Here is a 16,702-nt window from a genome sequence, read left to right as displayed (position 1 = left end):
AAAAATTTTTACATGTTCACAGAAGCTTTATTCATAATAACCAAAAAGTAGAAACAACCAAATGTCCGTCAACTAATAAATGGATAAATAACATGCAAGATAACCATACAATGGATTATTATTCACCAATAAAAAGGAACAAAGAACTAATACATGCTACATTTATGAACTTTGAAAACATTATGTTAGGGCCAGATGCAGTGGCCCATGCCTGTCATTCTAGCAGTTTGGGAGGCCAAGGTGGGCAGATCACCTGAGGTCAGGAGTTTGAGACCAGCGTAGCCAACATGGTGAAACCCTATCTCTACTAAAAATACAAAGATTAGGCTGGGCATGGTGGCTCACGCCTGTAATCCCAGCACTTTGGGAGGCTGAAGTGGGCAGATCACCTGAGTTTGTGAGTTTGAGACCAGCCTGACCAACATGGAGAGACCCTGTCTCTACTAAAACTACAGAATTAGCCAGGCACGGTGGTACATGCCTGTAATCTCAGCTACTTGGGAGGCTGAGACAGGAGGTGGAGGTTGTGGTGAGCCAAGATCATGCTATTGCACTCCAGCCTGGGCAATAGAGCAAGACTCTGTCTCAAAAAAATAAATAAATAAGAAAAAGAAAAAGAAAAGAAAACATGTTAAGTAAAAGAAGCCAGTCATGAAAGGCTATGTATTATATTGACTCCACTTATTTGAAATGTCCAGAATGGGCAAATCTATACAGACAGAAAGTAGATTAATGGTTGCCTAGGGGTGGGGGGCTGGGGGATCTGGGAATGAAGGGTGATAGCTAATGGATATGGGGTTTCTTTTTAATGGCGAAATGTTTTAAAAATAATTTGTGATGACCATTGCACAATTCTATGAATATACTAAAAAAAATTGAATTGTACACTTTATTGTTGTTGTTAGAGACAGGGTCACACTCTGTCACTCAGGCTGGAGTACAGTGGCACGATCATGGCTCACTGCAGCTGCAACCCACCAGGCTCAAGCAATCCTCCCACCTCTCAGCCTCCCGAGTAGCTGTGACTATAAGCACATGCCACTATGCCTGGCTAATTTTTGTATTATTTGTGGATGTGGAGTTTCACCATGTTGCCAGGCTGGTCTCGAACTCCTGGGCTCAGGCAAGCTGCCCGCCTTGGCCTCCCAAAGTGCTGGGATTACCCATGAGCATCCGTGTCCAGCCTGAATTTTACACTTAAAAAGAGTGAATTGTATGGTATGTGAATTATATATCAATAAAGCTGTTATTGTATAATACTCCCTCCATTCCCGCCCCCCTCAAAGCCCACATACACAGAATAAAATGAAAAGGTCTGCATGGCTGGCTGACTAGATGTGAGGACTAAGTCAGAGCAAGGTCCACACAGTCTGAATCTGATCTGCTGCATGTATAATTCCCTATTGGCTACAATGTTCTAGTTTTTTTATGAGTGAATTTTGGAATATCATTGCTAAGATGAACACATATGCATTGCATTAAATTAAACAAAATGCAGAAATCTAAATTACAAAAACTGCATGTATTTTAAAACCAACGATGAGTGGTTTAAATTGCATTTGACAGATCATTTATTTAGAGATGCAGAGAGATAATTACGCTTCTTGAGTTGCATTCATGTAACTTTTTTTTTTTTGAGATGGAGTCTTGCTCTGTCACCCAGGCTGGAGTACAGTGGCGTGATCTCAGCTCACGGTAACCTCCGCCTCCCGGGTTCAAGTGATTCTCCTGCCTCAACCTCCTGAGTAGCTGGAATTACAGATGCACGCCACCATGCTAGGCTAATTTTTGTATTTTTAGTAGAGAAGGGGTTTCACCATGTTGGTCAGGCTGGTCTTGAACTCCTGACCTCGTGATCTGCCCGCCTCGGCCTCCCAAAGTGATGGGATTACAGGCATGAGCCACCATGCCCAGCCTCATGTAATCTTTTAAAATAGCTTTATTGAGATATAATTCACATATTATACATTTCACACATTTAAAATGTACAATTCAATCATTTTTCGTTTCTTCCACAGGTGTGCAACCATCAACACAACCAATTTTAGGACATTTTATTTAACCCCCCAAAAAACTGTATAACCTTTGGCAATCATCCTTCATTACCCCACCCACTTCCCCAGCCCTGGGAAACCACTTATCTTTATATAGATTTGTTTATTCTGGACATTTCCCACAAATGGAATCATATCTTTGGTCTTCTGTGACTGGCTTCTTTCGTTAGCATAATGGGGTTTTTTTTGTTTGTTTTGTTTTGTTTTATAGAGACAGAGTCCCCCTGTGTTGCCCAGGCTGGTCTCAGTCCTCCTACCTATGCCCTCCAAAGTGCCGAGATTACAGCTGTGAGCTACTGTACCTGGCCTATCATGTTTTCAAGGTTCATTTATGTTGCAGGATATATTCTTGTTTTTTGTTCTTTTGTTTTATGTTTTTCTTTCTTTCTTTTTTTTTTTTTTGAGATGGAATCTCTCTCTGTAACCCAGTCTGGAGTGCAGTGGCGTGATCACGGCTCACTGCAACCTCTGCCTCCAGGGTTCAAGTGATCTCCTGCCTCAGCCTCCCTAGTAGCTGGGACTACAGGCGCATGCCACCACACCCGGCTAATTTTTGTATGTTTAGTAGAGACAGGGTTTCACCATGTTGGCCAGGCTGGTCTCGAATTCCTGACCTCAAGTGATCCACCCGCCTCAGCCTCCCAAAGTGCTGGGATTACAGGCATGAGCCACCAGGCCCAGCTATTCTTTTTTGTTGATAAGTAATATTCCATTGTATAAATAGACCACATTTTATTTCTCCATGCATCGGTTGGTGGACATTTAGGTCATTACTACTTCATGACTATTATGAATAGCCATATGAATGCTTCCATGAATATTCGTGCTCAAGTTTTCACGTGAACATATATTTTCAGTTTTCTTGGTATATGCTCAGGAGTGTAATTGCTGGGTCATATGGCAGCTTTCTTTGAGGAACTGTCAGACTGTTTCCCAAAGCAGCTGCACCATTTCCCATTCTCACCAGCAGTGGTGAGGGTTCCAATTTCTCCACATCCTTGCCGACACTTTTTATTATCTTTTTCAGTATAGCCATTGCAGTGGATGTCAAGTGGTATCTTATGTGGTTATAATTCCTAATGGCTAAGGATGTTGACCTTTTTTTCCAGTTTACTTTTGAATTCTCTCTAACTCCCCTGTGCCTGCTTATTTAGGTCCTAGCCATCTCCTTTTTTTTTTTTTTTTTTTCAAGAGACAAGGTCTTGCTCTGTGGCCCAGGCTGGAGTGCAGTGGCACAATCATAGCTCACTGCAGCCTCAAACTCCTGGACTCAAGCCATCCTCCTCCTTCAACCTCCTGAGTAGCTGGCACTATGGCACTATTTTTTGTAAAGAGAGGGTCTTGCTATGTTGGCCAGGCTGGTCTCAAACTCCTGGGCTCAAGCCATCCTCCCACCTCAGCCTCCTGAGTAGTTGCAATTACAGGCTCCAGCCACTGCACCTGGCACTCACTGCACCTGGCACTCACCGTCTCCTCTCTGACTGATTTGCATGCCTCCTAACTGGGCTTTCCATTTTCCATTTCACTCCCTATGATGCAATCCTGGACCATGTCACTTTCTGTTTAAAACCTTGAATGACTCCCTATTGCCCACAGGACAGAGCCTGCACTTTGAAGTATGGCATTCAAGACCCTTCACAGTCAGTCTCCACCCTATCTTTCTGGGTCCCATTTCCCTCTGTCCCCTCCAGTGCAGCCATCCTGTGCCTTTGCCCATGCTGTTCTCTCTTATAATCCCTTCCCTGAAGTGTCCCTACTCAGTACCTACTTATCCTTTAAAACCTAGCTCAGGCAGGGTGCAGTGGCTCACGCCTTTAATCCCAGCACTTTGGGAGGACAAGGTGGGAAGATGGCTTGAGCTCAGGAGTTCGAGACCAGCCTGGGCAACATGGTGAAACCCCGTCCCTACGAAAAATACAAAAATTAGCCGGGCATGGTGCTGTGTGCCTGTAATCCCAGCTACTTGGGAGGCTGAGGTGGGAGGATCACTTGAGCCCAGGAGGCTGAGGCTGCAGTGAGCTGTGATTGTACCACTGCATTTTAGACTGGGCAGCAGAGTGAGACTCTGTCTCAAAAAAAAAAAAAAACCCTAGCTCAGACAGAAACTTCTGAGTGAAGCCTGTCTAAGATCACCTCCAGACAGGGCCCTCCTGCTGTACAACTCCAAGGGAGGTGATTCTCATGGTCATCTATGTCAGGATCAGCAAAGTCCAGCCCATAGGCCAAATCCACAAATCCAGCCCACCACCTGTTTTTGTGTGTTGCATGAACTAAGAATGATTTTCATTTTTGAACAGATGTAAATAATTTAAAAGTAAAATGAAAAGTGGAATACAGCCATGCTTATTTGTTTACATATTGTCTATTGCTACTTTCGTGCTACAAGAGCAGAGATGGTGGCCCACAAAGCATAAAATATTTACTATTGGCTGGGTGCAGTAGCTCACACCTGTAATCCCATCATTTTGGGAGGCCAAGGCAGGAGGATCTCGAGGTCAGGGGTTCGAGACCAGCCTGGGCAACATGGTAAAACCCTGTATCTACTAAAAATACAAAAATTAGCCAGGCATGATGGCGCACGCCTGTAATCACAGCCACTCCAGAGGCTGAGGCAGGAGAATTGCTTGAACCCAAGAGGCAGAGGTTGCAGTGAGCCAAGATGGTGCCACTGCACTCCAGCCTGGGTGAGAGAGCAAGACTCCGTCTGGAAAAAAAAAAATAAAATAATATTTTATATATATATATATATATATATATATATATATATATATATATATAAAATCCAGCCATTTACAGAACAAGTTTGCCAAACCCTGGTCTATGTTAGTGGTGCCCTGGAGTTGTGCAGTGTGCAACCTATACAGATGTACGCCAGCAGCTTTGCCTGCAGGCTCTCCTGGAACTGTTCATAACCTCTACTCTAGTATTTAGTATAAAATATAATAATTTGTCCTCTTCCCCTACAGACCTTGTACTCCAGTAACTGAGACTGACTCTCTGAGTCCTGCTTATCTTTGTATCCTCAGTGGATAGACCAAGGTCTGGCACAGAGAAGGACCTCAATAAATGTCTGTGTTACTCCACTCAATTAACTATTTCCCGGACACTGAAGATGAACTAATAAAACACGATTACTATTTCAGGATTACTTAACTCATAAGTAAAAATGGTAGTACTATGACTAGCAAAAAATCATAGATTTATTGTTTCTGGCTTTATTTTATTTTTATTTATTTATTTTTTTATGAGACAGAGTTTCGCTCTTTTGCCCAGGCTGGAGTGAAGTGGCATGATCTCGGCTCACTGCAAACTTTGCCTCCCGGGTTCAAGCAATTGTCCTGCCTCAGCATCCCAAGTAGCTGAGATTATTATAGGTACCCAGCACCACTCCTGGCTAATTTTTGTATTTTTAGTAGAGGCAGGGTTTCAGCATCAACATGCTGGTCTCAAAATCCTGACCTAAGGTGAGCCACCCACCTCGGCCTCCCAAAGTGCTGGGATTACAGGCTTGAGCCACCGCACCCGGCCTATTTTATTTTATTTATTTATTTTTGAGACAGGGATCTCACTTGAACTGACTCAAACTAGATTCTTTTTTAGCTCACTGTAGCCTCTAACTCCTGCAGCACAAGTGATCCTTTCAACTAAGCCTCCCAAACAGCTGGGAATACAGCTGTGCAACACCATACCTTGCTAAGTTTTTCTATTTTTTTGTAGAGACAGGGTCTTGCAGCATTGCCCAGACTGGTCTCACACTCCAGCATAACTTGTTTGATTTGAACCTCTTTTCTCCCAGACAAGTGCTAATTGGCATATTTCACTGAATCAAGTTAGAATCACTATGTTTGGGGTAAGATGCTGGAGATGTACAGACCACTCACCGACCGGACAGAGCTCAGGCTACACGGAGTTGCAGTTGGGAGTCCAGCCTCCAGAACATGGTTCTAACTAGGGTAGGTGAATGTGGGGAGGTTCATCCTGCATAATCACCAGATATCAGTAAAAAAGAGGGCTGAGAAGGCAGTAGAATAAGAATTCTGAAGCTGTTACACTCAAGATGTATGTGTGGACTGAGGGCACAGGCACCAGCCAACATCAAACCCATGCTTTCTGCTGGGTACCGCAGAAAGGAGGCATCTGGCTTTCCCCCTCTCATTCAGTCCCCGAAAAAAATCCATCTCAGTTGAGGGTGCAGGCCCAGAGAAGTGATGCCACTTGTCCCCACCTGCCTTGGCAGAGCAGTTATTCAAGCTCAGGTCTCCCAGCCTGTACCTGTCTGTCTACCATAGGCACTTGGTGAACACTTACCACCAAGAGCTTGCTCTTTCAACAAGGACTTTCATGGGCCTTTCCTCACTCCTAGTTTCTCTTTGGTTCCCTGAAATTGATTTATTCCCCTGCAGGAGAAAAGTCCCAACCTCTTACCATGAATTAGAAGGCCCTGCCCTCTCCCTCTCTCCCTCTCTCCCTCTCCCTCCCCGTCTCCCTCTCCCTCCCCGTCTCCCTCTCCCTCCCCGTCTCCCTCTCCCTCCCCGTCTCCCTCTCCCTCCCCGTTTCCCTCTCCCTCCCCGTCTCTGTCTCCCACTTTCCACGGTCTCCCTCTGATGCCGAGCCCAAGGTGGACTGTACTGCCGCCATCTCGGCTCACTGCAGCCTCCCTGCCTGATTCTCCTGCCTCAGCCTGCCCAGTGCCTGGGATTGCAGGCGCGTGCCGCCACGCCTGACTGGTTTTTGTATTTTTTGGTGGAGACCGAGTTTTGCCGTGTTGGCCGGGCTGGTCTCCAGCTCCTGACCGCGAGTGATCTGCCCGCCTCGGCCTCCTGAGGTGCCGGGATTGCAGGCGGAGTCTCGCTCACTCAGTGCTCAATGTTGCCCAGGCTGGAGTGCAGTGGCGTGATCTCGGCTAGCTACAACCTCCACCTCCCAGCCGCCTGCCTTGGCCTCCCAAAGCGCCGAGATTGCAGCCTCTGCCCGGCCGCCACCCCGTCTGGGAAGTGAGGAGCGTCTCTGCCTGGCCGCCCATCGTCTGGGATGTGAGGAGCCCCTCTGCCCGGCCGCCCAGTCTGGGAAGTGAGGATCGCCTCTTCCCGGCCGCCATCCCGTCTGGGAAGTGAGGAGCGTCTCTGCCCGGTCGCCCGTCGTCTGAGATGTGGGGAGCGCCTCTGCCCCGCGGCCCTGTCTGGGATGTGAGGAGTGCCTCTGCCCGGCTGCGACCCCGTCTGGGAACTGAGGAGTGTCTCTGCCAGACCGCCACCCCGTCTGGGAGGTAAGGAGCGTCTCTGCCCGGCCGCCCTGAGAAGTGAGGAGCCCCTCCCCCCGGCAGCCGCCCCGTCTGGGAAGTGAGGGGCCCCTCTGCCCGGCCGCCACCCCTTTTGGGAGGTGTACCCAACAGCTCATTGAGAACGGGCCATGATGACGATGGCGGTTTTGTCGAATAGAAAAGGGAGAAATGTGGGGAAAAGAAAGAGAGATCAGATTGTTACTGTGTCTGTGTAGAAAGAAGTAGACATAGGAGACTCCATTTTGTTCTGTACTAAGAAAAATTCTTCTGCCTTGGGATGCTGTTAAATCTATAACCTCACCCCCAACCCCGTGCTCTCTGAAACATGTGCTGTGTCCACTCCTGGTTAAATGGATTAAGGGCGGTGCAAGATGTGCTTTGTTAAACAGATGCTTGAAGGTAGCATGCTCGTTAAGAGTCATCACCACTCCCTAATCTCAAGTACCCAGGGACACAAACGCTGCGGAAGGCCGCAGGGTCCTCTGCCTAGGAAAACCAGAGGCCCTTGTTCTCATGTTTATCTGCTGACCTTCCCTCCACTATTGTCCTATGACCCTGCCAAATCTCCCTCTCCGAGAAACACCCAAGAATGATCAATAAATACTAAAAAAAAAAAAAAATGAAATGAATTGGCGAGCTCTTCTAATAAATAACCCCAATCACATTTTTGTTCTTTGAAAAAAAAAAAGAAGGCCCTTCAAGAACCGCCCTGTGCTTCCCTCTTCAGCTTTGCCTTCTAGTTTCACCTCGTGCCCCCAACCCTAGACTTTCACGTCAGTTCAAGTTTAATAAAACTTGAAGAAAAAACAACGAAGACTTATTTTGTGCTTACCATGAGCCAGGCACTATTCTAAGCAGTTTCACCTACACTGTCTCATTTAAAATTCTATGAAAGCCGGGTGCAGTGGCTTACTCCTGTAATCCCAACACTTTGGGAGGCTGAGGTGGGAGGACTGCCTGAGGTCAGGAGTTCAACACCAGTCTGGTCAACATGGTGAAACTCCGTCTCTACTAAAAATACAAAAATTAGCTGGGCATGGTAGCGCACACCTGTAATCCCAGCTACTCGAGATGCTGAAGCAGGAGAATCACATGAACCCAGGAGGTGGAGGCTGCGGTGAGCCAAGATTGCGCCACTGCACTCCAGCCTGGGTGACAGAGCGAGACTCGGTCTCAAAAATAAAAAAAAAAGAAAAAGAAAAAGAAAATAAATATATATATGTATATTTTCTATGAAGGAGATTAAATAACCCAGCCCATTTTATAGATGAGGGAGCTGAGCCCAGAGGGGTTATGAAATTTGCCTGAGGTCATACAGTCAGTGAGTAGCAGTTAGAATTTGCACCCAGGCAGTCTGACTTGAGAAAGTATAAAGGCTTAGCTGATACGTCCTTCAACTCTTGCAAATACTATTTCTTTCCATTTTTTCAGTGGGCCATCCTCTATCTGCCTTCCAGTCTTTGCACTTTATAGTTTCCTGTTCCTAATACACTCTCCATCTTGCCTGATTAACCCTACTCATTGTTCAGATTTCAGCTAAGATAGCACCTCTAGGCTGGTCACGGTGGCTTACGCCTGTAATCCCAACACTTTGGGAGACTGAGGTGGGCAGATCACCTGAGGTCAGGAGTTCAAGACTAGCCTGGCCAACACAGTGAAACCCTGTCTCTACAAAAATATGAGAATTAGCTGGGCACGATGAGGGTGCCTGTAATCCCAGCTACTCGGGAGGCTGAGGCGGAAAAATCGTTTGAACCCGGGAGACAGAGGTTGCAGTGAGCCAAGATCGTGACAATGCACTCCAGCCTGGGCGACAGAGCCCAAAATATACAATACTCTATGAGCATGTATTGTTTGTGTATATATATATATTTTTTAGATGAAGTTTCACTCTTGTTGCCCAGGCTGGAGTGCAGTGGCACAATCTCGGCTCACCGCAACCTCCACCTCCCAGGTTCAAGTGATTCTCCTGCTTCCGCCTCCCGAGTATCTGGGATTACAGGCTTGCACCACCATGCCCAGCTAGTTTTGTTTTTTTTTTTTTTTTTTTGGTAGTTTTAGCAGAGGTGGGGTTTCTCCATGTTGGCCAGGCTGGTCTCGAACTCCCGACCTCAGGCAATCCACCCACCTTGGCCTCTCAAAGTGCTGGGATTACAGGCATGAGCTGCTGCGCCCAGCCATTGTATATTTTAAAATAATTGACAACTGGACACACTGACTCATGTCTGTCATCCCAGAGCTTTGGAAGGCCAAGGCAGGAGGATCACTTGACCCCAGGAGTTTGAGACTAGCCTGGGCAACATAGCCAGACTTCATCTCTACAAAAGTTTAAAAAATTAGCCGGGCATGGTGGCATATGAATGTAATTCCAGCTACTCAGGAGGCTCAGACAGGAGACTTGCTTGAGCCCAAGAGTTTGAGGCTGCAGTAAACTATGATCACACCACTGCATTCACCTGGACAACAGAGCAAGACTCTGTGTCTAAAAAAAAATTTTACTTATATAAAAATAATTGAAGTGTTGATTTTTAAAAATGAAAGTAAGTAGAGTAGTTGCAGACTTCCTAACTGGCTCAGGGGTACTGAGGGGATGGTCCTGGCGGCTGGCCCTGTGCACATTTCAGCAAGTTGGCAGTCTTGCAGTCTTCCCCTCCTGACACTGCAGTTCCTACACCTTCTTAGAATTTCAGGCCATCTCAGCTTTCCCCCAAGTGACTCAGGAAGGGGAGTTTCCCATGCAAGGCTGTTTGCTGGCAACCCACAAGTATGATTCGGAAAGGATGCATCAATTTCAGATCCAGATCTGGCCAATTACACCATCACATTAAGAACAAATCTTAGGCCGGGCGCGGTGGCTCATGCCTGTAATCCCAGCACTTTGGGAATCCGAGGCAGGCAGATCACCTGAGGTCAGGGGTTCGAGACCAGCCTGGCCAACATGACAAAACCCCGTCTCTACTAAAAATACAAAAATTAGCTGGGCGTGGTGGTGCATGCCTATAATCCCAGCTACTGGGGAGTCTGAGGCAGGAGAATTGCTTGAACCTGGGAAGCAGAGGTTGCAGTGAGCTGAGATCACGCCACTGCACTCCAGCTTGGGCAACAGAGTGAGACTGTCTCAACTGAAAAAAAAAAAAAAAAGAACAAACCTTGATGGGAGGTGTGGGGGCAGGCGAGTGGGGTTTAGGAGGGACTCCTGGTTTCTGTTTTGTTGTTCTTTGTTTTTTGGAGTGTGTGTGTGTGTTTACATTTCCACATGATTTGAATTTTTACAATGTGTATACATTGCTTTTGCAAACAGAAAATTTTAAATATATAAACAGTACTTGAAAAACTGCCAGGTGCAACCAGCCTACCCAGGGCCGATTCTGTGTCCTACATGTAGAAGAGGGCCCAGCCCTTTAGATAAAAGGTGTGGCCAGGCACAGTGTCCCACATCTATAATCCCAGTACTTTGGAGGCTGAGGAAGGAGGATTACTGGAGCCCAGGAGTTAAATGACCAGCATGGGCAACATAGGGACCCCATCTCTAGGAAACAAAAATTTTTTAATTGGCCGGGTGCAGTGGCTCTTGCCTGTAATCCCAGCACTTTGGGAGACTGAAGCAGGCAGACCACTTGAAGGCAGGAGTTTGAGACCAGCCTGGCCAACATGGTAAAACCCTGCCTCTACTAAAAATGCAAAAATTAGCTGGACATACTGGTGCATGGCTGTAATCCCAGCTACTGGGGGGCTGAGGCAGAAGAATCACTTGAACCCAGGAGGCGGAGGTTGCAGTGAGCGGAGATCGCGCCACTGCACTCTAGCCTGGCCATGATAGCGCCTCAGCACTCCAGCCTGGGTGACAGAGCAAGACCTTGTATAAAAAAAAAAAAAAGATAAGAAGTGATATGCATCCAGAGAGCTCAAATGTGATTCAGGGGCACATCCAGGTTAAAACCCATGCTTAGGCAAAAGGGAACCACAAAGGATTTTGGGGGGTTTTGGTTTTGTTTTCTATCTAAAAGGAAAACGCAGGACACAGAGTTTTGAGGTGGATAATACAGTGTCTGGTCCTGGGCAAGCATGAGTGTTCCTAAATTGTTCTCTAGGCTTGCCCCAGGCATATTTTAAGTTTCCTGTAAGCATTCCAGGCTTAACGATGGATTTTTCCTAATTCATCCTGAGCACACCCTCCACCCTTCTCCCCAGTCTTTATATCTGTCTTAGTTTGGGCTATTATGGCTAAGTACCTTAGACTGGGTGGCTTATAAACAGCAGCAATATATTTCTCACAGTTCTGGGGGCTAGAAGTCTGAGATCAGGGTCCAAGCATGTAGGATTCTGGTGAAGTCCTTCATCCAGGTTGCAGACTGCCGACTTCTCATCGTGTCCTCACAAGGTGGGAAGAGGGCTGAAGGGAGCTCTCTGGAGTCTCTTTTATGACACTAATCTCATTCGTGGGGGGATCCACCCTCACGACCTAATTACCTCTCAAAGGCCCCACCTCCTATTACCATCATATTGGGAATTTTGGGGGGTGGATGCAAACATGCAGTCCATTGCACCATCATCACAAATGGCATCTACCTAGTGCCCAAGCAAGACACTTCAGTGTTTTTTTTTTTGTTTTTTTGGTTTTTTGATTTGTTTTTGAGACGGAGCCTTGCTCTGTCACCCAGGCTGAAGTGCAGTGGCATGATCTCAGCTCACTGCAACTTCTGCCTTCTGGGTTCAAGTAGTTCTCCTGCCTCAGCCTCCCAAAAAGGTGGGGTTACAGGCATGCGCCAACGTGCCCAGCTAATTTTTGTATTTTTAATAGAGATGGGGTTTCGCCATGTTGGCCAGGCTGGTCTCAAACTCCTGACCTCAAGCAATCCACCCAACTCGGCCTCCCAAAGTGCTAGGATTACAGGTGTAAGCCACTGCACCTGGCCCACTTAAGTATTTTAATTTTTCCTTTTTGCTCACCTCCTATATGCAATCCATAGCTAGTCCTATGGATTTTATCCCCACAATGTACCTCTAGGTTACCTTCTTCTGTCTACACCCAAGCTACAACCAAAGCCCAGATCATCCCTCACCTGGTCACTGCTACAGGCTGTCTGGTCTCCCTGACGCTGATGGTGCCCCTCTCCAACCCCTTGTGGATTTAGCATCCAGAATGCTCTTGCCCAGACACAAACCTGCTTGTCTGCTTACACTCTTGAATGGCTCCCCACCCATAAGATAAAACAGGAGCTCTGTAGCATGGTCTGCAGGACTGTCCCTGAACTCACCTCTTATTATTCCCCATATGCATCCACGGGCACTCTCCACAGGGATTCGTATCGGCACTGTCACGCTTCCACATCTGCATGTGCTTGTACTTCTGGGATCTGATTTTCATCTCCCTTTTTGTCCCCTCACCTCTCAGAATTTTTGTTGTTGTTGTTTTTACACAGAGTCTCACTCTGTTGCCCAGGCTGGAGTACAGTGGTGCAATCTTGGCTCACTGCAGCCTCTGCCTCCCGAGTTCAACCTCCCTGTAGCTGGGATTACAGGTGTGCACTACCATGCCCAGCTAATTTTTGTACTCTTAGTAAAGGTGGGGTTTCTTATAAATAATAATAAGAAGGCCGGGTGTGGTGGCGCATGCCTATAATCCAGCACTTTGGGAGGCTGAGGCTGGTGGGTCACTTGAAGTCAGGATTTCAAGACCAGCCTGGCTAACATGGTGAAACCCCATCTCTACTAAAAATACAAAAATTAGCCAGGTGTAGTGGTGCATGCCTGTAGTCCCAGCTACTTGGTAAGCTGAGGCATAAGAATCGGTTCAACCCAGGAGGCAGAGGTTGCAGTGAGCCAAGATCGTGCCACTGCACTCCAGCATGGGTGGCAGAGGGAGACTTCTGTCTCAAAAAAAAAAAAAAAAAAAAAGAAGAGTGTAGGGCTCGAAAACTAGTAATGCTAATTAACTAACTCTGAGAACATCACATCTACCACCCATCTTTCTCTAACCATCTAATTTTGTTAGCCATAAATACATTTTTGAGCTGCTTATTCCTGAATCCAACTCTTGCATAAATTGTTGTGAACAAATACATGCATTGCTCAGTTCTATTGAACCACATGTGAAGACGGTGGGGAAGGCTGGTGGTCCCAGACTGTTTTGGTGCTCTATTCGGGGGTAGATAATTTCCTGAACTGGGCCTAATTGCTTTGGCTGCCAAGTAACAATTTGTTTTTAGTGGAAAACTTGGCCGAGGCAAGGCTTGTGCAATTGTGCCCTCGCCCTTACCTAAGGAATTCTGTGCACAGAGGCTGTCCTGTAGCTTCTGAGGTAGTCATGTGTGTAGACACACACCTGTAATTAGTGTTCAGGAGGTGCAGAGGGAGGTCACAAAATCCTTGTGTGAGTGCCAAGGAAGGGGCAGGACTAGAGAAGGGAGGCTCCTGGCCTGCACTGGGAGCTCAAGGGCAGAGCCCACTTCCTGGATGTCACCCACGCTTGAGCTCTGAAAGACCCCAAGGAAGCCACCTCGCTGATGAGGAAGGGCGGATGAGAGGAACGCTGAGGGGGTAGAATGCATGTGGCTTCTGGCAGCCTCTCTCTGAGGATTGCTCAAGTGTGTATGCCATGAACCTTGGCCTGCTTCTGATTTGTTGCTGCATATTGGATAGTTAGTATGTGCAGCAGCCTGGGTGACTCATGAAAGTGACTGATAAGCCCTCTCTCTCTTTGCAGTAAGGGCAGATTCTAGCATTTGAGTCCACTTTGGGAAGGGTGGTGTGTGAGGTCAACGTAGAATATTCCAGGCTGGCCAGGCATGGTTGGCCCATGCCTATAATCCCAGCATTTAGGGAGGCCGAGGCGGTTGGATGGCTTGAGCTCAGAAGCGTGTCTGTAGTCCCAGCTACTTGGGAGGCTGAGGTGGGAGGATCGCTTGAGCCCGGGAGGAGAAGATTGCAGTGAGCTAAGATCAAGCCACTGTACTCCAGCCTGGGCAACAGAAGGAAATTCTGTCTAAAAAAAAAAAAAAAAAAAGATATTCCAGGTCGTCTTGAAGTTCTCTCTTGACAAAGTTCTCTTAAGTTCCATCTAACAAACAGTTTTGTCTATTTGTTTTTATTAAAAGGAGGAAGAAAACAAAGAGAAAAGAAAGCTCTTACTTTTCCCTCCTAGGATTATAAGAAACATTACCCAATTTTAAAGGACTTCAAATTCAAATGTTGAAAGTCAGATGTTAAATAAGGTTTGTAGGCTGGGCTTGGTGGCTCACGCCTATAATCTCAGCACTTTGGGAGACCAAGGTGGGCAGATCCCTGAGGTCAGGAGTTTGAGACCAGCCTGGCCAACATGGTGAAACTCTATCTCTACTAAAAATACAAAAATTAGCCAGACATGGTGGCACACACCTGAAGTCTCAGCTACTCAGGAGGCTGAGGCAGGAGAATCACTTGAACCCGGGAGGTGGAGGTTGCAGTGAGCCAAGATCACACCACTGCACTCCAGCCTGGGTGACAGAGTAAGACTCTGTCTCAAAAAAATAAAATAAAAAATAAATAAGGGTTTGTAGAGATATCCTATAAACATAGAAGTTTCTCCAGCTCTAACATTTTAAAATTCTATGAATCTCAGATTTGTGTCACTCCAATATGTCCAGTAAAGTAGAAGGAAATATGACTTTGAAATTCACTAAAATGAAAAGATGGAAGCTGTATCTTTGCTGAATCCATGTCCTGAAATAGCTTTATAGGACAGGTAAAGCATTTCTGTTCATCTCTCCAGTAAATACTCGCATCTTGCAGCTGCCTCTCCGCGACCAGGGAAAGGAGAGCAGGCTTCCCAAGGAGGAGTGAAGTGGAGTCATTTCACAGGCACCCAGCCTCCCCTCACCCTGTTCTCTTTCTTCCTCTACAGTTGCCTTTCCCTGCAGTGGGACTGGCAGCCATCCAACACTTCTGCATTCTTCCAGTTGTCTCCCTTGTGTGGCCTTCCTTAGCTGCTTAGCACCATGACTCCACAAACCCACAAACACACAGCAGCCATCAGTTTAGTCCACATTTCTTAGGCATTAAAGACCCAATCTGGGCCGGGCGTGGTGGCTCATGCCTGTAATCCCAGCACTTTGGAAGGCCGAGGTGAGCGGATCACCTTAGGCTAGGACTTCGAGACCAGCCTGGTCAATATGGTGAAACCCCATCTGTACTAAAAATGAAAAAATTATCCAGGCATGGTGGCACATGTCTGTAATCCCAGCTACTCAGGAGGCTGAGGCAGGTGAATTGTTTGAACCTGGGAAGCCAAGGTTGCAGTGAGCCAAGATGGTGCCATTGCTCTCCAGCCTGGGTGACAGAGCAAGACTCTGTCTCAAAAAAAAAGACCCAATCTGACTCCAGTTGATGTGTCCAGATTTACCTCCCCAAAACAATCCCCTTATCCAGCCTCCATTTCCCTGTGCCCCTCCAGCATGCATGCCCCCTCTCCTCCCCTCTCCACACTCCCTTTCTCCTCCCATCTCCTGCATCCAACTGAAGCACTGCCTTCTCTTTCTGATGTGCCCCTACACCGAGTCTCAATTTTTCCATGCATGCTTTTTTTTTTTGAGACAGGATCTCACAGTGGTGTTATCACAGCTCACTGCAGCCTCAACCTCCTGGGCTCAGATGATCCTCCCACCTCAGCCTCCCAAGTAGCTGGGACTCTAGGTGTGCACCACCAAGTCCAGCTAATTTTTTTTTTTTTTTTTTTTTTTGGAGAGACAGTGGTCTCACTATGTTGCTCAGGCTGGTCTTGAACTCTTAAACTCAAACCATTCTCCAGCCTCAGCCTCCTAAACTGCTGGGATTACAGAGGTGAGCCACTGTGCCTAGCCTTACTTCTGCATTTATTCAAATGATCGTGTTCTAGTCACCTCCCTGGTGAGATGGTAGATTCCTTGAGGGTAGGGATGAAAGCTCATGCATTTTTCTATTCTCCACTGAACTTAGTACAGGAAGCAAAACAATATATTTTTTAATGGGTGAATGAATTTGTAAAAACTTTTTATTTGGTCCAATTACTGATTTTCCCCCTCTCACAAAACAAACTATTTTTTTGTAACACAGGAGGAAGAGGAGGGACTAATATCTGAAATGTTTACCTGGCCCTGAAATTTTCTCTCCTTTTATTTGATATGAGAACTTATCTTTGTCTTTATAATAAATTATATCTTATTTTTAGTATTAAAAAATCTTCTCAGCTGGGCTCTGTGACTCATGCCTGTAATCCCAGCACTTGGGAGGCTGAGGCGGGCAGATCACCTGAAGTCAGGAGTTTAAGACCAGCCTGGCCAACATGGTGAAACCCCGTCTCTACAAAAATACAAAAATTAGCTGGGCATGATGGCAGATACCTGTAATCCCA

General features: G+C 46.7%; 1 annotated feature.

Annotated features, from left to right (window-relative positions):
- Window positions 7,145-7,932: an enhancer, noted in NCBI's record as "NANOG-H3K27ac-H3K4me1 hESC enhancer chr16:48450115-48450902 (GRCh37/hg19 assembly coordinates)". NCBI's record gives its function as "activates a minimal SCP1, AML or CMV promoter by ChIP-STARR-seq in naive H9 embryonic stem cells {active_cell/tissue: H9 hESC(naive)}" and the evidence as "EXISTENCE:reporter gene assay evidence [ECO:0000049][PMID:30033119]".

Source organism: Homo sapiens, chromosome 16 (assembly GCF_000001405.40).
Source record: "Homo sapiens chromosome 16, GRCh38.p14 Primary Assembly".
Classification (NCBI taxonomy): domain Eukaryota; kingdom Metazoa; phylum Chordata; class Mammalia; order Primates; family Hominidae; genus Homo; species Homo sapiens.
The sequence above is the reverse complement of the archived record's forward strand: the minus strand, read 5'-3'. Positions and strand labels throughout refer to the sequence as shown.